Genomic DNA, 19611 nt, shown 5'->3' with positions numbered 1-19611 from the left:
CTTGAGCCCAGGAGGTCGAGGCTGCAGTGAGCTGTGATCGCACCACTGCACTCCAGCCTGGGTGACAAATCGAGACCCTGTCTCAAAACAAAAACAAAACAAAACAAAACAAAAACCAAAAATCTAGTCCAAGTAACATTAAGTAACATATTTGTTTCTTTTTCTTCCTTTTTTTTTTCTTTTTTTTGAGATGGAGTCTCACTCTGTTGCCCAGGCTGAAGTGCAGTGGCACAATCTTGCAATCTCTACCTCCCAGGTTCAAGCTATTCTCCTACCTCAACCTCTGGAGCAGCTGGGATTACAGGTACATGCCACCATACCCAGCTAATTTTTGTATTTTTAGTAGAGATGGGGTTTCACTATGTTGGCCAGGCTGGTCTTGAACTCCTGACCTCAAGTAGATCCACCTGCCTCGGCCTCCCAAAGTGCTGGGATTACAGGTGTGAGCCACCGCGCCTGGCCAAATATTTCTGTTTCCATTCAAATACCTTACAGACTAAAGCTGCTCTGGCACTACCATTCTCAAACCTCTTTCTCTTTCATCTAAATAAACTCCTTTCCTACCCTAGCCTCTGAGGCTTCCTCTGGTCCTGCTTTTCTTTCTCTCTTAGCCCTTTATTATGTATATGGTTTGGGCTTCATGAACATAATAAAGGAAAGAGTAAAGGAAAATAGAAGGGAGGAATTTATCCTTTTTGTATGTGGGGAAAGACGTTTATGAAATTGAGTTGAAATTAAAGGATTCCGTCTGGTGGGACGAAGGAATGGGCTTTTTCACTTCAGCACACACATGTAGGTGGAATTACACTTCTGTAATCGAATTGCAACTGCCCCTAAATCTTGCAGTATTGTTCTTATTAAACCAATTTTATAGAGGAGAAACCTAAGGTTCAGATATGAGGCCATCTACCCCAAGCCACATAACTTTAAAAAGACACAGAAAGGACTAGAATTGCTTGCCAAAGTGGCTGAGAAATCAAATTTGCCAGTGAAAGAAATAAAAAGGGATGACTTCTCTCTCTTTCTTCTCTTCTGTTCACCAATCTCCCCTACTTCCCTTTTGGCAACAGCAGGACAGAGGCAGTTCCACTGTTTGGTAAGGAAAGAAACAAAGAACTGTGACCTGCTTGGCTCCTAGTTTCTTTATCTGTAAAATGAAGAGGTTAGGACAGATGACTTTAGATCAACTTCTGTGAATGTTGGTGTAACCCAGGTAAAACATAGCTGTCTCGTGACCCAGTCCTAACATCATGATGTACTCAGAGAAACAACTGTCAGGTATCCAAAAAGTAATTCACAAAGAAATTTTATTTATTCTTGAGATGGAGTCTCGCTCTGTCGCCCAGGCTGGAGTGCAGTTGATCTTGGCTCACTACAACCTCTGCCTCCTGGGTTTAAGCGATTCTCCTGCCTCAGCCTCCCGAGTAGCTGGCATTACAGGCACCCGCCACCACACCTGGCTCATTTTTTGTATTTTTAGTAGAGACAGGGGTTTCACCACGTTGGCCAGGCTGGTCTTGAACTCCTGACCTCAGGGCGATCTGCCCACCTTGGCCTCCCAAAGTGCTGGGATTACAGGCGTGAGCCACCGTGCCTGGCCAGAAATTTTAATCTCTGCCAAAATCTCTCAAAGAATACCAAAAGGATGTTCAACTCAAACTAGAGCAGCACTTCAAAAACTTTATCTTTCTCTGTATATTTCACATATACTACCTCTGAAATACTATCACCTCTCTCCTCATTCCTAACAATTCTCTCTAAGCCCAGAAGATTCTCATCTTGTTTCTCCTCTCATCTCATCCTCAGGATCTATTTATTTCTCCTTCATCAGGAACTCAGAGTTAATTTTTAGAGGAAATCAATTCACCTTGTCTGGTTTCACTCAGTTCGCTCCTTTCCCTTTACCCTAGTTCAGCCAGAGAGACAGCAGCTATCCCAGAATTCCCCGCCATGGGCAGAGAAGGGGAGAGGCTGTTAATAGTGGTGAATAAATGACTTTCCTACCATAATGAGATAAGTCCAGAAAAACGGGAATGAGAGGATGGGAACTGCAGATGCTCAAAGACACGGCAGATCATGGAAAACTCCCTCCCAGGGTCATCTTAAGTTGCATCCCACTCTCAACCCCACAGCTATGGAAGTTCCCCAATTTCTGACTCTTGTCAGATGGAGGAGGAATATCCTGCCGGTTTCCCTGCTGAGGACACATAGAATAGTGGAAACCAAAAAATAAAGGAAGAGAGAAAGAGAGAGGGGAAGAGAGAGAGAGAGGCAGAGGAGAAGAAGGAAAGAAGGAAGAAAGGAAGGAGGGAAGAAACCAAGGATGGCACTGTCACCATGGCAAGTGGAAGCTGAAGGCAGGCCTGGCCTTGGCCAGAGGCGCTGCTGAGAAGGGAAGGATGACCAAGAGTGTCCCAGCCTGCTTGTGACTCTCCTGCTGCCTCTGAGAGAGCTGGCTCAACCTCGAGAACATTGGGGCAGTTCTTGGGTTTTCTAAACAGTGGCATATATCATCTCACTTAAACTTTACAACTGCTTGGAAATGTAGGCACTGTGCTGAAGTGATCTTTTTATAAGTCATTCTCTGGTGTTTATAAGTCTGACTGGTGTGTAAATGCCTCCAGGGCAGGACTTTCATTTTCTAAATTCTTGTATTCCTGGCACTCAGCACGGGTACACAGTAGGTGCTCGATGTTGGCAGAATGGAAGTAACCGGAGCAGATTTTTTGGGGTGAGTCAACTGAGCCCCCAGCCAGTTTCCAGTGGAGTCAGGACTGGGCTCAGCAATCTTGACTTCTACTTCAGCATAGCTTCTGCTGCAGCACAGTGGTAGGTAGTGTGTATGTGGGGGTATGGGGCATGCACACGCCTGTGTCCCCACAAGACAGTAGCATTGCAATGAGGAGAATGCAGGGGCTCTGAGTCCCTATATGATTCCCATTTCTGCCCTTATAAGCAAGTCCTTAACTTCTCATCTATAAATTGTGCTTAATGATACCACCTCCAATAGAGCTGATGTGATGATTCAATAAATAATAACAACAAAATAATGATGTTAAAAATCCATAGCTGGCTTGTACTTCTTTGCCCTTGGCTCTTTCCTGCCCCAGGCTCCCAGGCCCCAAACCTCTGCTCCTGTATCGGATTTTAGGGAGTTCAGCAAAGGTAGAAGTAGAGGTCAGCAGTTTGGGACTTGTTTGATGTGTGTCTCTACAAGCTCTCAGCAGATGGAGCCCGTGGCCTCTGGCTCAAGGCAGGAAGGACTGAGGGTTTTTCCCAGGGAGAGCAGGGTTGTGCAATGATTCTGTCCTGGCCTCCCTAAACCCTCCCTTCTCAGTTCTAGAAACTCTCTGCCCTCAGAAATTCCTCCCCCATCGTCCTGTTTGGGGGATTTCCTTTCTCAAGGCAAACACAATGAATCTCTCTCTGGTTTTGGAAATCCAAAACTGGCCAGGAAAAAATCTTGCAGAGCTGCCCTGACTTCCGAGCACAGAACTCAAGTCATTCCTCCCCACCTGTGGGCCATCACCTCCGCAGTCCCTCTCCTCCCATCCCAAAGACAGAGCCCCATTTCCTCATCTGGCCTGGACTTTTTCTCTAACAGACTGTAGCCTGCAGACAGGCAAGAGGACTTCAGGCTGGGGCACAGAAGTCCCAGTGACACAAAAGTGAGAGGAGGTCTTAGGATCCAGGGCTCAGGCCATGTCACTGGGGTCCCAGGGCCTGCTGGGGAGGTGAGGCAGAGACTTCGCTAGCCTAGGCCGGATGTCTGGGAGTCGAAGCCCAATTTCCCACTGTGTCAGTGGAACTCAGAGCTTCCATAGGGCCATGAGCTTACCTCTGCCCTTAGAATAACTGTTTGTGAAGGCTATAGAACAGTGCCCAGAACATAATAGACACTCAGACGTTTTGGCTATTACAGCTCCTTTAACACTGTATTGTGTTTGTCTGTTTGTGTATTTGTGTCTCACAGTGGGTGCACCACCTGTGACTCTAGTGCTCAGCATAGAATCCAGCCCATAGTGGATGCTAATTTAAATATTTTTTTCTTTTGGACACTGGTCAAGAATCTTTGAATAGCCCCTGTCATTAATCTGGGTAGAAGCCTTTCCCTCTGCTAGTGTCAAAAGCCCTGGGGTTAATAGACTTGGGTGGGGGTTCATGAATCCACTTCCAGCCCTTGGGGTTATCTTAGGCAGTCTCTGGGCCTTCACTTCTTGGCCAGTAAAATGAGAGGAAAACAGAGTCAACTCTAAAAGTCTTCTCGGCTTCCAAAGACTGGCAAGAGGTGACTTGATTGTAGGTGATGAGGGAGTGGGTAAGAGAGTACATAGAAATCCATGGGTCAAGGCCAGGCATGGTGGCTCATGCCTATAATCCCAGCACTTTGGGAGGTTCAGGCAGGAGGATAGCTGGAGCCCAGCAGTTCCAGACCAGCCTGGGCAACATGGTGGTGAGACCTCATCTCCACACACACAAAAAATATTTTAAATTAGCTGAACATGGTGGCTGAATGCCAGCTACTTGAGAGGCTGAGGCAAGAGGATCGCTTGAGCCCAGCAGGATCACTTGAGCCAGGAGGTAGCCACTGTACTTCAGCCTGGGTGACAGACCCTGTCTCAAAAAAGGAAAAAGAAAAAATCCATCAGTCAGGCTCAGGGTATGCTGGAGGATGTGGGCTGAAATACGGGGGGATGAAACTGAGCCTACTTTCTGGGATAAAACGGCTGACCAGCCAGGCCCACCCCACTCTGAGGCTGCCACTTTTGAGGTATGACCCGACGGTTCCCATTTAGAAGAGTCTACTCCACTTTGACACAGGTTACTGGAATTCCCATTTTAGAGACATTCTTCTGGGGAGAGACATTGGGGGCTCTTATTAAAATGTATGTGGATCAGGTAACATTTATCAAATGTGCACAGGTCTAGTGATTAGTAGTGTCTGACTACTAGGTAACAACTAGCTGAGGGCATGGGGGATGGAGATCTGGAACACAGGCATGCCAAGGATGCTGACTTAGAGTCCCAAAATGCAGGACCGGAGGAAAACACCTCAATTTCTATAAGTGGAAAGAAGGGGAATCAGATAAAGGGTTATTTCCAACACATTTTACCTAGTGAATAATATTCCCTATGGCAAGCTCTGCTTACGTTCACTTACCCAATGAATCAATGTTTGCTGAGTATCAACAATATAGAAGGAGCCCTGGTAAGGGCTGTGGGGGAGGAGCTGAGGAAGGCAGCAAGCTGGATGAGACACAGTGCCTGCCCTCCAGAGGGAAGTAAAGTGCCCAGTCCCTCAGGCCCCCGTGCCTGGACAGCTCAGGGGACCGAGGTGCCTGGTGGGGGGCTGGCGAGCCCTGGCTCTGCAGCTGGTACTGCAGCAGCCCAGGAAGAAATCCAGGGCTGCCGTTTGACTCAGCATCTGATCTCCACAGACATGAAAGAAAATGGGTCAGAAAGAATGTGTATGGGGAGGTGAGGGGGCATGGATTTTGCTCTCTTTTCAAGCTGGAGGGCCTGCAGGAGACAGAGGGGCCAGCCCTCTCCTCTTAGCTCCCCACCCCACAGAGCAGCCATTTATGTCAGGGAGGAGTTGGGGGCAACAGACCCTGGGTGACACAGACACTGAGCCCTGCCACCCTTTCCCTCTTCATTGTTCGCATGGCTCTCCATGACCTGTGCCAAAATGAATTCCAGATTCCAGGGAGGAAGTCCCTGGGAACTGGAGCACTCAGGGTCAGTGGGGACTCTGGGCCTGTGATGTCACCTCCATTCCCAAGGAGAGCATGCCTCGCTGCCTCAAACATCCTGATGTGCAGAGGATGTCAGGGATGGACAGAAACAGCCCAAGAACAGAGGTCCTGGCTGACTCCTCTCCCAAGGTGGGTGTTTGATTTTTAGTAATTAAGGAGAAAAAGCTCTAAGAATCAAAAATTAAAGACTTTTGTTATTCTAAATTTGTTGGTTTTTTAGTTCATGGGCTACTCATTTTATTTTTTTATTTTTTTACTTTAAGTTCTGTGGTACATGTGCAGAAAGTGCAGGTTTATTACATAGATATACACGTGCCATGGTGGTTTGCTGCACCCATCAACCTGTCATCTACATTAGGCATTCTTTGCTTTTTTTTTTTTTTTTTACACGGAGTCTGCTTTGTTGCCCAGGCTGGAGTGCAGTGGCATGACCTCGGCTCACTGCAACCTCGGCCTCCCAGGTTCGAGCAATTCTCTGCCTCAGCCTCCTGTGTAGCTGGGATTATAGGTGCCCACGACCATGCCCGGCTAATTTTTGTATTTTTAGTAGAGACGGGGTTTTACCATCTTGGCCAGGCTGGTCTTGAACCCCTGACTTCCTGATCCACCCGCCTCGGCCTCCCAAAGCTACTCATATTTTAAAAGTAGTTTGGATATGATGTCTTTAATTTGGATTGAATTACACACACACACACACACAAGCGCACACACACAACTTGACCTCTGTGTATTGTACCTTGTGAAGGAATTCAAGACTTGTTATTGCACATGTTACCGACATGCGTGATACATTTTTGAGTGTTCACCAATGTGGAAATACTTTGTCAGTGGTGAACTTAGTGCTATTCTTTATTTTGTTAAAACAACTGAGATATCAATTGACCCTTTAAAAATATGTGTGAAAGTATTTTATTCCTATCTGTGTGTCTGCCCCGAGTGATTTCAGAATCAGCTATCGACAGCCATCACAGCATGACGGATGGCCAAGTGAATATTTGCCTCTATTTTTTCCCCATATTTTTGTTGAGATAGACCAATGATCAGAATGACAAGAGAAAAAATCTGATTGGTTTAATATTAAGATGGGGTGTTAAACTTTTGATTTTTGAAATCTGCATGAGCTGATGTTAGAAACGTACTTTCGCAAAACTAGCATATACAAAGTGTACGACTTTTTCCCCCATAAGTTACTACACTTGTATGAGAGCAATTTACCTTTAGGCTGGGAATTCTTAGGTTTGTTTGCTTGTTTGCTTGTTGTTTGTTTGTTGGTTGGTTTGTCTTTAAAGATGGAGTCTCACTTTGTTGCCCAGGCCTGAGTGCAGTGGTGCCATCATAGCTTACTGTAATTTCAAACTCCTGGGCTCAAGGAAGGCTCCTGCCTCAGCTTCTTGAGTAGCTGAGATTATACGTATGAGCCACCATGTCCAGTGAATTATTATCTTTAAGGTGTCTGCACTTTTACATATGCATACACTGTAGTTCAGCAAAAGGCTGTGCACACCATGAGTGCTTGTTGAGTATTGTCAAATGTCTAGTTGATAAGGAGGAGCTAGAAACAGAGAAATGCCATAGCCAAGGCTGCTCTGCCCCTGACCTGGTTATGCCTTCCAGTTTAACCCAACAAACAGTAACTGAGCATCAGTTGGGTGCCAGACACTGGACAAGATGCTGGGGATGCAAAGAAGAATAAAGCACAGGACTGACCTGGAGCTGCTCCCAAGAAAATGGGATCAAACTTATTACAGTGGCATGTATGGACTTGTGGAAGGACAGATCATTCCAGCTCTGAAAGTCAGGGAAGGTGGCATGGCAAGTTGGATTTTGAAGGGTTGGCAGGGGTTACCAAGGTAGGGAAGAGCATTTGAGACAGAAGGAACACATGAGTGAAGGCATATGTTGCTGGGGGAAAAGGGCATGCAGCAGGTTCAGGAGAGAGCTGTAGGGCTCAGATTTAAAGAACCCATTATATTTGCTCTGTTTGGGAGTTTGGATCTTATCCTACAGGCAAATAGTTGCACAAAGTTTGAAGGCATGTAAGAGAGTGAATAGGCACCTCTAGAAATGGGCACAAGGTTCCACACGGCAGACACTGAAGACTGCTTCTGTTGTTCATATGGAATTGCTGTTGGCAGAGCCTGTCTCATAAACATGTGGCTCAAAGCTGTTGCTCAGCAAAAGCCACCCTGTTCTCAGTGGCCACACACCTATCAGGGCCCTAGAGACAAATCCCAGCTGCAGCTGAGGCCCTTGGAAGCAGAGATTTCTGCTTCAAGACCTTTCTTCCAGCCTTCCTCTGCAGGGTTGCCCATTGGTACTAATTAGTAATTGATTAATATGTGCTGTTGTTGTTGGATTTTAAAAGGTATATTTCCCATTGGCTGGGCGCAGCGGCTCACACCTGTAATCCCTGCACATTGGGAGGCCAAGGCAGGCAGATCACTTGAGGCCAAGAGTTCGAGACCAGCCTGGCCAACATGGTGAAACCCCATCTCTACTAAAAATACAAAAATTAGCCAGGCATGGTGGCATGCGCCTGTAATCCCAGCTACCAGAGGGACTGAGGCAGAGGCATGAGAATCACCTGAACCCAGGAGGCGGAGGTTGCAGTGAGCCAAGATTGCACCACTGCACTCCAGCCTGGGCAAAAGAGCGAGACTCCATCTCAAAAAAAGAAATGCTTGAAAGTGAAAATCTCTAAACATCTAATGGAAGTGCCAAGAATATTATGTTTATATTAAACATTAATTTTCTTTTTTCCTTGCTAACCAAATACCCAGTTATCCATGCCTAAGGAAAGAAAGTCCAGCTGGTTGACCAAATACCCAGAAGTCAGGTACCTCCCTCTCTTCAGGGGTAATTACTCAAATCACAGCCTATTGTTCAGAGATGTGTGATCTCAGGCATGCTGGATTCTTCAGGTTTGTCCTGCTTTAAATCACAAGTATTTTAACAACCTTACAAGAAATGGTTCTTTGTTCTTTGGTATCCTATAGTATGCTTGTAAGCTTCTGAATTTGTTCCGGTTAAATTGAATAGATGCGTGCGTGTTGGGGGAGGAGGGGATGGGGGCTGGGGGCTGGCAGTGGGAGAGAGAAATTAGAGAGACTGAGTGTTCCATGACAGCTCCACGAGTGAAAGCTGGAATTGGGCTTCATTGGAAAAGACACAGTTGGGGAAATACTTGAGAATAATAACCTTGAATAATTACAAGAAAATGAGAAAGGAAAAGGAGATAATAGTAGCTAATAATGAAGCAATGTTGTTATTGAACATGGTGGCATATGCAGTTGAACCTGTCCATGCATGGACTTATTTAGGGACTTAGTTCATTTGATCCTCACAGCAACCCCTGAGAGGGATACTGTCATTATCCCACCCTACAGATGAAGAAATTGAGACTTAGGAAGGTATCCAAAATCTTACTGCTGGAAAGAAGTAGAGTCAGGATTTGAACCCAGATATCCTGAGGGATACTTGGAAAATCCTATTTAGCAGGCCCAGACTTCTAGGCCATTTGCCAAACATTCATACTTTCTTCAACTGAAAAAAGATGAGCTTGACAAACTGTCACCAATATGTCTTTTTTTTTTTTAGGAACTGTAAGGCAATTACTATTAAATAGTTTTAAAAGTAATAAAATAAATATACAGAGAGCAAAACAAATAAAGCAAATGTGGTAAGATATTAACAAATGGGGAATCTGGGAGATTGGTATATGAGGGTTCTTTGTACTATTCCTGCAGCTTGTTGGAAAATCTGAAATTGCCAGGTGTGGTGACTCATGCCTACTGTAATCCCACCTACTTGGGAGGCTGAGGCAGGAGGATTGCTTGAGCCCAGGAATTTGGGACCAGCCTGGGAAACATAGTGAGACCTCATTTCAAAAAAAAAAAAAAGCCTTAAATTATTTAAAATAAAAAGAAATTCCAAACCTGTGACTAATGTGCCTACCAAAAAAATTATTATCTTCTATTTCATAGTATGCTTATAAATTTCTAAATCTGTCATGGTGTATTAGTCCGTTTTCACACTGCCGGTAAAGACATAACTGAGACTGGGCAATTTGCAAAAGAAAGAGGTTTAATGGACTCACAGTTCCATGTGGCTGGGGAGGCCTCACAATTGTGGTTGGAAGGCAAAGAGGAGCAAGTTGCATCTTACATGGAGGGCAGCAGGCAAAAAGAGCGCTTGTGCAGGGAAACTCCCCCTTATAATACCATCAGATCTGGTGAGACTTACTTGCTATCACGAGAACAGCATGGGAAAGACCTGCCCCCATGATTCAATTACCTCCCACCGAGTCCCTCCCACAACATGTGGGAATTCAAAATGAGATTTGAGTGGGGACACAGCCAAGCCATGTCACATGGTTTACACTGGGCAGAACACCAGGGCGTGTGTGTGTGTGTGTGTGTGTGTGTGTGTGTGTGTGTGTGTGTAGGGACTGGACGTGTGATGTGAACTGCACAACTCTTTTCTTAACTCTGTTCTGAGAAGCCCACTTCTTGGATCCTGTGTGAGAAAAGTAAATCAGTAACTAGATTTCATGGTGGCCATTAATCATTCAGGTTGTAAAGCAGACCCCTGAGAAGTGGTAGGCAGGTCCTGTCAGGGAGCTTGACTGGGGACAGGCCTCTTTGTCCATCCCCACCATTTTCACTTTCAGGAGAAAATAACCTTCCCAGTGCCAAGACACCAGTGCAATTAGCTTTACCTAATTATTACCTAATACTGTTTTGAATCTAGAAAATGAAAGACTGCTGAAAAATCCTTTTACTGCTTCTTTTCTGAATTATTCCCTCACAGTTTTTCATAAAGAACCAGTTAATTAATTAGGGCCTGTAAGGAGAAAGAGGCTTTCTTGATCTTTGGCCAAGAATTCCCCAAATCGCTCACTCTGCTTGTTCCAAAATCCTGTGCTCTTAATGACTGGGCACAGAAACCATTAATTCTGTCAGGTCAGGGTGAATTTTGAAGCTTCAGTACCTGACACCCTAGACTGGAATTTGGTTTGTCAAAACAAAGGGAAGGGAGTGGATAGTGAAGGAAGAAGACAGTTGGGCAGGAGCTGGTTCTAGACCAGGGCACCTCACTCAAGCAGGGGCAAATCTCCATAAGCAGCCTCACAGGGTGAGCGGGAACCTTAGGACTAATCTCTTACGACCGCGTGGGTAGCTGGGAAATCCCTTTGTCATGTGGGAGATTTGTCATATGCTATTTGACTTGGTCACTTTTTCCAATAACAGTCTCTTGTGCTAAAAGGGGTGGAAAAACAGACTGTGAAATTCCAATGCCCCTGCTTTTTTTTTTTTTCCTTCCCTTGGGGCCATAATTCTTCCACCTGTGTTGGCATTATGAGTTTCTAGTTTCCCTTTAAAACAGAGGCCTTGTTTATGTGTAGAACAGGATTTTCAACCCTGGCACGGTTGACAAACTGGACCAGATGATTCTTTGTTGTGGGGCTGTCCTGTGCATTATAGGATGTTAAGCAAAACCCCTGGCTTCTGCCAACTAAATGACAGTAGCACTTTCTTCTTACAATTGTGACAACCAAAAATGTCTCTAGACATTGCCAAATGTGCCCTGGGGGGTGATCAACCCTGGTTGAAAATGATTGATCTAGAACCTTTTTAGGAATAGGGGTCTTCCTGGTTTTCCTGGGAAATCACTGGAGACATGAGAGGGACCAGAGCAGGCTGGATGCATTTGACTCAAACTCAGGCTCATGAAGGAAAGAGGAATAATTATGATTTTATATCAGAGGCATTCTGGAAGACAGGGTTTGCTATATTACTCTGGTGCTAGTTCTAAAGCATTAGAATGATGTTGTACTCTGCATTTGCTGTTCATGCAAGGAGCTTTTGAAAGCGGTCCCAGGATCAGGGCAGTACAGGAAGCTGGCCTAGAGATACTAAGATTCAGATCACCAGGCCAAGTTCTTTGAACAATTAGAAATTCAGTATTTTAAGAATGTTTGGGAGAGTCCGTCTGAGACCCACCCAGGTTGACTCTCCAGATTTACCTATTCCAGGCAGTCTTTCTCCTTCTTCTTTAACTAAAACTGCTCTCTCTGTAAAGGTCACCAAATTCATCTTTTACATTCCAAGAACAAAGCTATGGACTGCTCAAAGCGAATTTCCATGATTCTTCAGGTGTCCACCCTATATTTTCAGGAAAGTACTGAAAAGGTTCACCCAGGATAAAATATTTGCAATGCCTTAAATTAGGGTGAGAAAGAGAAAGTCTGATCTTCCAGGGGGCACTGCACCTTTAGCTAAAAAATGAACGAAACCAAAATGAGCGAGAGAAGTATGCAGAAGCACTTGAATAACCCACTTAAGAGCATGAGGCTGTGGGACCTTATCCTTGCTTATGAATTTTGTACAGGTTTTCGTAATTCCTGGGGTCTCCTTTCTACTCTTGGGCTTGGGGGGACAGTGCTGCCATCCATTTCATAAACCAATGAGATAAAACCAGGTTGTTGAATAAACTGCTATATTCTTAGGATGGGATTAGACCAGGTTGAATACAATCATAACAAAACAATCTGTGTAATGAATGAGCTGTAACAAAATTCAATTCTAGTATAATATTACTCTCCACTTACTGTAGGCCTTTTTACTTTTAAAACTAATATCATAGTTATCAAACACATTAACGTGCCAAGTATCGTATCTAATTCAGAGTGAGTGACATGAGGCCTAGAGATGAGTGGATTTGTGCCTGTTTTATTTCAGACTCCTGGAATCGGCTCCTAATTGATCTCACTGGCTCCGCTCTTGCTCCACTAAATTTATTTTCCGCCCAACAGCCAATCTCTGAAATGTAACTCAGATCACTCTGCTGCTTAAGACCCTCCAAAGGCCGGGCACAGTGGCTCATGCCTATAATTCCAGCACTTTGAGAGGCCAAGGTGGGAAGATCATTTGAGGCCAGGAGTTTGAGACCAGCCTGGGCAATATACTGAGACCTTATCTCTACAAAAAATTTAAAAATTGGCCTGGTGTGGTGGCATGCACCTATAGTCCCTGCTACTCGGGAGGCTGAGCCCAGGAGTTTGAGGCTACAGTGAGCTGTGATCGCACCACTGCACTCCAGCCAGGGCACAGAGTGAGACCCTGTCTCAAAATAAACAAACACCCTCCAAAGGCTTTGAATAAAATCTCAAACTTGTTCCCAGGGCTTTCCAGGCCTTTTCTACCTGATCCTTCAAGCCTCTGACGTCAGCCTGTTTTCCCAGCGCTGCAGCCATGCCACCAGCTCTCCCACCTCAGGGGCTACAAAGCTCCTCCCTCTCTCTGCAGCACTTTCCTCCTCACTGTCGTATGGCTGATGGCTTGCCATTTGCTTATCTCCCTAGCAACCCACAGCACCCAATCTCTACCTTCTTTCCCTGTTATTTTCTTCACCACTCTTATTATCACTATCTGAAGTTACTTTAGACTCACAGTTTTATTTGGTATTGTTCTGTGATTTGATTTTTTTTCCCACCTACTGATGTGTCTTGGAGATCTTCCCATGTCAGATTAGATAAATCTACTTCATTCTTTTAAATGGCTGTATAATATTCCTTCAAATGGACGTACCAACATTTAACAGCTTCCTTTTTTAGTCTTGATTTTTTACTCTTACGAATAATGCGGAAGTGAACTATCTTTTTGAATACATCTCTGTGCACATGTGCAAGTTTTTTCTGTAGTATGGATTCCTGGAGGTGGAAGTGCCAGGTCAAGGTCATGCCCATCTATCATTTTGATAGATGCTGACTGCCATATTGCCCTCCTAAAAGGCTTTATCAATTTATGCTCTCGTGGACCACGTGTTAGAATGTACACTTCCCCATCCTCACGGGCACTAATCAGTGTCATTTTAAAAACATTTGCTTTAAGTGATACACAGTGGTATCTTATTTCACATCAGAATCCTAAAGGCCATTTTAAGATTGCTTCATGTTGGTGTCCCCTGGGATCATACCTCTGGGTCAGTTGAGGGAAAAGCAGCAAAATCCTCTATGAGCTCTGAGACTCATAAGACAAATGAAACTTTTCCAAGGAGGGTCATCCATCGCAGCAGAAACTTCCTCTGTCCCAATGCCAGCAGAGCTCAATCAATAACCTGGAGAACTGTAGGCCAGCCTGACGTTCCTGCATGCAGCTCTCCCCCATCCATCATCCAAACACACCTCAGCTGAAGCACTAAAGTCCGTCGAAATCTGCCCAAATGCAGCACGCGCCCTCCCCAACCTTGGCTTCTCTTACATTACTCAGAATACTTCGTTTGGGCCAGGTGCGGCAGCTCATGCTTGTAATCCCAGCACTCTGGGAGGACGAGGCGTGCAGATCACCTGAAGTCAGAAGTTCGAGACCAGACTGGCCAAAATGTTGAAACCCCGACTCCACTAAAAATACAAAACTTACTTAGGCTGAATGCATGACTCACGCCTGTAATCTCAGCACTTTGGGAGGCCGAGGTGGGCAGATCACCTGAGGTCAGGAGTTCAAGACCAGCCTAGCCAATGTGGTGAAACCCTGTCTCTATTAAAAATACAAAAATTAGCCAGGTGTGGTGGTGGGAGCCTGTAATTCCAGCTACTTGGTAAGCTGAGGCAGGAGAATCACTTGAACCCAGGAGACAGAGGTTGCAGTGAGCCAAGATCATGACATTGCACTCCAGCCTGGGCAACAGAAGCAAAACTCTGTCTAAAAAAAAAAATATACATTCCAGCTACTAGGGAGGCTGAGGCAAGAGAATCACTTGAACCCAGGAGGCAGAGGTTGCAGTGAGCCGAGATCACACCATTGCACTCCAGCCTGAGCAACAAGAACCAAACTCCATCTCAAAAAAAAAAAAAAAAGAACCCTTTGTTTGGTTTCACTTAAAGAGGAGAGAAGATACCAGGGTCTGGTTGTAGTCAGACCCTCACTCTCTAGAGATGACTTTCTAAGCCGGAGAGGGAACATCTGCTCTCTCTAAGGGAAGCAGGACAAAAGGGGCAGCGAGACCAAGAAAAACATCTCACTGGGGCCAGGGACAATCTTTGCTGGTCAAAAGAAAATCTTCTCAGATTTAATAACTCCCACATTGGCAAGCTGCACATTTTTTTTTTCAAAGAGTTTTTGAGTTTTCTTTGTCCCCCTCTACTTTCCTCCCCAAGGAGTGGTTGCACTTCCTCATGAAATAGAAATATGGCCAATGTCCCTGAGTGCCGGTGCTGTGCTAAACTCCTTATACTGTTTATCTAACAACACTGTGAGCCAGATTAATATTATTACCTCCAGCCTAGGGATGAGAGTTGGCAGCCAGCGCAATTGAGTAACTAGCTGGGTACCCAAGGTCACCCAGCTGGTGACACCTGGGGCAGGATTTAAATCTGAACCTGTAAACATGCTCTGTTGCCTCTAGGGGGAGGTTAGTATTTTAACCTAAGGAATTACAAAGGCTTTATTTTGGGGCACGTGTAGGTTATTGTGCATTTCTTTACTTTCAGGTTTCTTAGAGAAAAGTCCAAAATAACAGTGGAATTAATTTAAAACTGTGTCTTTCTGTGTCCCTGAAATTCTCACACATGGTACGTTTTCAATGAGCTGATTTTGTTTCTCCACTCAATGCAGTAATTGAGCTTCTTTGGTTCAGTGCATGAGTGGTTCAGTGGTTCATTGGGCATCCTGGTTGAGGGAGGGGCTGGGTAACCAACTGTATTCACTTCCTATTGCTGCTGTAATAAATTACTGGAAACGTATTAGCTTAAAACAATACAAATTTATGATCTTATAGAAGTTTGAAAATCAAAGAATGTTTTCTGGAAGAAAACATTCTTTCTGGAAAAATCCATTCTTTTGCCTTTTCTAGCTTCCAGGGGCTATCTGGATTCCTTTTACCATGTTAAGATAACATATTCACAGGTGCCAGGAATTAGATTGTGAACATTTTTGGAAAGCCATTATTCAGCCTGCAGCACCAACCAACACAGTTTGTCGGGGACTAAGGTCTCCCAGGACATGGGATTTTTAGTGCTAAAACCAAGAAAGTCCCCTGCAAACCTGGACAGCTGGTTCCCTAGAAGGGAACTCTGTTCCATGAAGATATTCTTACTAGAGGAAGTAGAGAGGGAAGATAAACACAAATAAGAAAGCTGTAAAGGGCCGGGCGCGGTGGCTCACACCTATAATCCCAGCACTTTGGGAGGCCGAAGCAGGTGGACCACCTGAGGTCAGGAGTTTGAGAACAGCCTGGCCAACATGGTGAAACCCCATCTCTACTAAAAATACAAAAAATTGGCCGGGTATGGTGGCGCAAGCCTGTAATCCCAGCTACTTGGAAGGCTAAGGCGGGAGAATCACTTGAACCTGGAAGGTGGAGGTTGCAGTGAGCTGAGTTCATGCCACTGCACTCCAGCCTGGGCAACAAGAGAGAAACTCTTTCTTTAAAAAAAAAAAAAAAAAAAAGGCTGTAAAGGAAACTGTTTTTCCAATATCATTCTTTAGGGAAAAAGCAACTACTGACCTTTCAAAAAATCCCCGCACTGCAGCCTCAGCACTGCCACACCTTCGCAAAAAGGAATCTATGCTGAATATTCTGTCACCTGTTTTACCCAGGAAAAACAGCTATCTCCTGGATAAAGTCTATTTCAAGCTCGAATTATCCCTATGTTAAGAAGCGTGTATGGTAAACTTGTACTCAGAAAGGTTAATAAAAGTGTAGAATAAAATAGACGTGTAGTTAAAAATAGAGCCTGATTCCATGCAAATGACACAGACTTGATACCCTAATGAGGAGCCAAGGTGGGCTCCTCCATCACATGTCCTCCTCCTGTCTTCATTGCTTCCTCCCCACCTTCCACTCTATCCCCTGCCCCACTCCACCCCCTGCCCAGCTATATTTAGTACCACAGTCTGTGGGTTTCTGAAAGAATTCTCTCATGTGTTTTTGAGTTTCGCTGAAGGGGAAACCTTGGTTTCGTGTCATATTTTTACATATATATTTAGTTTGTGTCATATTTTTACATATATATTTAGCTTTCCATTTCTGAAGAAATAAATACCAAAAAAAAAAAAAAGGCTTTTTCAACAATGGGCGAATTCCAAGAAGCCTGGAGCCTGATTTGGAAAGGATGCGGGATGGGAATGGGGTAGTTTTTCCAGTGGAAAGGATTTGAACAGAGGCCACACTTCCGGAGTGGCTCCTACAAGCGGGAGCATATGAGAGGTTCTCTCAGCATGGTCTGGCAGAAGTGACAGTTATGGAAGGGAGGGTCATAAATCATTTCCTGGCTGTAAGGACAAAGGGATTCAAATTCTCCCAAGCTGGAGGTAGTGGAGCAAACAAGATCAGCAACAATGAGGGAGCAGCTGCACCACTTTGTGTTACTCTCTGATGGCCAGCACAGGGCTGCAAGTAGTGGCTGCAAAAACCAGACAAATAGATGGAAATCCAGGAACTAGAGGAAATTCAGGCCTGCCAGGGGCTCTGGGAAGTGTTTGTTACTCTCTCAGGTGAGTTCAGACAGCCTGAGGCACATGGCATGAGGGCGGGGCAGCTGGAGGGAGGTGCAGATGGTCAAGAAAACAGGATTCTGTCTCCAGCGGAGCTTCTCAAGGTTTGCAGGGCTGCTCTGTGCATGCCTGTTTAGGGACATCAGCCTGATCCCTATATGCATGTAAGCCCAGCCCGCACCTTCTGCTGGCCAGTCACTGGCCACTGAGTCTGGGTAGAAGAATATACCAAATGTGGGTAACCTATCATCCCCTTGGGAAATCCAGCTGCCATCATGTGCCTTCTGCAATCGATTGTTTCTTCTAAGAAAACCCTGTTCCTATCATGCTATCTACCCCACTTTCTTTCCAGCCTTACCTTCTTCTACTTACATCTTTCTTTCTGGCATATTGCTCTTTTCTTCATTACCTGCAAAATATCATATCTTCATGCCTTTGTACGTGCTGCACGCTTTTCCAAAAATGTCTTCCACTACTTCCTGTTCCTTTGTCTTCCTAGAAAACTTCCACCCAGCCTCAAACCTTAAATACACAAGACACAAGTCACATAAGTATTGGTAAATTGGGAAATCCAGCTGCCATCATGAGTCACAGACACAGGCCTGGGAAGATGCTGACTCCATAGTGCATTGGAATAAAGGGTATGAGGGCAGAGAGAGGGCATTGTGCTGGTGTACCCACATTCTCCGCCCAGGGGTCTGAGGACAAGTGTTAGTAGATGGCTGGCCTAGGCATGGCTGACTGGCTGGAGGAAGAGCAAGGAAAATTGCTCCCTGTGGAGAGGAAATCCATAACTAGCCTGTATTTATTGGGAGCCTCAGCCCACTCAGCTAACAGTTCCAAGGGATGGCATGGTAGGCTCCTGTGGTCCCACATATGGATCAAACTTCATGGACCGTACTGTGCTTTCAGACTTACTTCAGACTCAAGTAGAACTATCTCACTGGAAAACTGTCTTAAGGCTTAGGCTGGACAACTTGAAGAGGGAGGGCCTGGTAGGATTGTCTGTTTCACGCTCCCTGAAGAATGTGATCACCCAGCTCCCTGCTTCCCAAAACTATCCAGACTGGAACGAAAGGATCTGGGACTAAAGGACCAAATCGAATAAGCACTCACCTTAGAGTCAAAAATTCTGTGTTCAAATCCCACTTCAAATTCCAAAAGCCACTTCCTGTCTCTGTGATCTCGGGCAAAACTGCTTAATGACTCTGAACCTTGGCTTCCTTATTTGGAAAATAGTGATTATATCACCTAACAACTTACACAGTTGCTGTGAAATTTAACATGAGAAAATACAGACCCAAGTGCCTAACACTGCGCCTAACACAGAGCAGATCACCAGCAAATGGTCAGTAAGTTAATTACTTGGTTTGGCACTCAAAACCCTCCTAATTTGGCCTAATTCTTCCCTGCCTTCTTCTCAGCTAGCCTCTTCCCCTCAGTTTTGCAAAGTTGCTCCAGGCTGTGTGGGGGAGGGTGAGACTCCCTTGGTGACAGTGGATGAAAATGATATCATTGCTTTTCAAACAAATAAAGCCAAGAAAAGGAGGCTTCAGTAGGGCTTAGAGACTTTGTTCCTGACTCAGTTCATCTGCTCACCTCGCTTTGTCCCCCTGGAATGAGTATCTTCCTTCTGTTTTAAAATTGAGGTTTTACTATTTTTTAGGTATGACAAGGCCAACAGATCAGGAGATGGCTGCTGTTGAAAAGAAAGTTGTTATACTCACAGGTCCCAAGAGGACGGGGCACACTGAGTCATAGGGGGCCAGCAAGGAGGCTCCAGGGTCAGTCAGAAGGCAGAGGGAGTGGGGAAAACAAGGGCAGAGGCTCCAGGGTCAGCCAGAAGGCAGAGGGAGTGGAGAAACAGGGGCAAAAGATGTGATTGTGGTTCTGGGAATGACAGGTGAGGCAGGCTCTCCTTTGCCTAGTTTAAATAAATTCAGCAGCCTCTGGGGCATAGGGGATATCCCTAGTTGTTCGGTACCTAGCCCTGGGGAGATTAGGGCAGGGGAACAGTGGCCCTGAGTGTGAGAGCGCAATAGTGAAGGTAGTTAGGGGCATGGTTGGTCTGGATTGGTTGGTTTGCATTTGAAAAGTGTGCTCAAGGGCCAGTTATTCGCTATCTCTAGGAATTGGCTAGAGGGATAATTCCTCCCTTCAAGGGTCAGCAAGTCCCCAGATGTCAAACATCAAAATACAGAAAATAAAAAGACAAAGTTAATAACACCTTCCTCTTCTCTGCTGTTGGATTCTAGCTTAGGTCTAATCTGTTCTAGGAAGACTTCCTAGGCCACCCCGTCCCAGTGGGATGACTCCCTCCCTGAAGTCCTATAGCACTTAATGTCTCTGCTGTTCATTTT

General features: G+C 45.2%; 1 protein-coding gene across 2 annotated transcripts in view, besides 2 other annotated features; it reads left to right on the top strand.

Moving 5' to 3' along the window:
- NMNAT2 (nicotinamide nucleotide adenylyltransferase 2) overlaps positions 1 to 19611 on the top strand; it is a 170144-nt gene that overhangs the window by 96460 nt on the left and 54073 nt on the right. Inside the window, exon 1 of one of the 2 annotated variants that reach the window (NM_170706.4) lies at positions 17047 to 17251. The exons of the other annotated variant lie outside the window; for it this stretch is intronic. Coding sequence (NP_733820.1) covers positions 17182 to 17251 — 70 coding nt within the window. The 5' untranslated portion in view covers positions 17047 to 17181. Of the gene's footprint in view, positions 1 to 17046; positions 17252 to 19611 lie in introns of those variants that run through there. 2 annotated transcript variants of the gene reach the window in all.
- Positions 17424 to 18397: an enhancer, noted in NCBI's record as "H3K4me1 hESC enhancer chr1:183272659-183273632 (GRCh37/hg19 assembly coordinates)". NCBI's record gives its function as "activates a minimal SCP1, AML or CMV promoter by ChIP-STARR-seq in primed H9 embryonic stem cells {active_cell/tissue: H9 hESC(primed)}" and the evidence as "EXISTENCE:reporter gene assay evidence [ECO:0000049][PMID:30033119]".
- Positions 18398 to 19371: an enhancer, noted in NCBI's record as "H3K4me1 hESC enhancer chr1:183271685-183272658 (GRCh37/hg19 assembly coordinates)". NCBI's record gives its function as "activates a minimal SCP1, AML or CMV promoter by ChIP-STARR-seq in naive H9 embryonic stem cells {active_cell/tissue: H9 hESC(naive)}" and the evidence as "EXISTENCE:reporter gene assay evidence [ECO:0000049][PMID:30033119]".

The sequence above is a fragment of the Homo sapiens genome, chromosome 1 (genome assembly GCF_000001405.40).
Source record: "Homo sapiens chromosome 1, GRCh38.p14 Primary Assembly".
NCBI classification, from domain to species: domain Eukaryota; kingdom Metazoa; phylum Chordata; class Mammalia; order Primates; family Hominidae; genus Homo; species Homo sapiens.
This window is presented reverse-complemented; position numbering and strand designations above follow the sequence as displayed.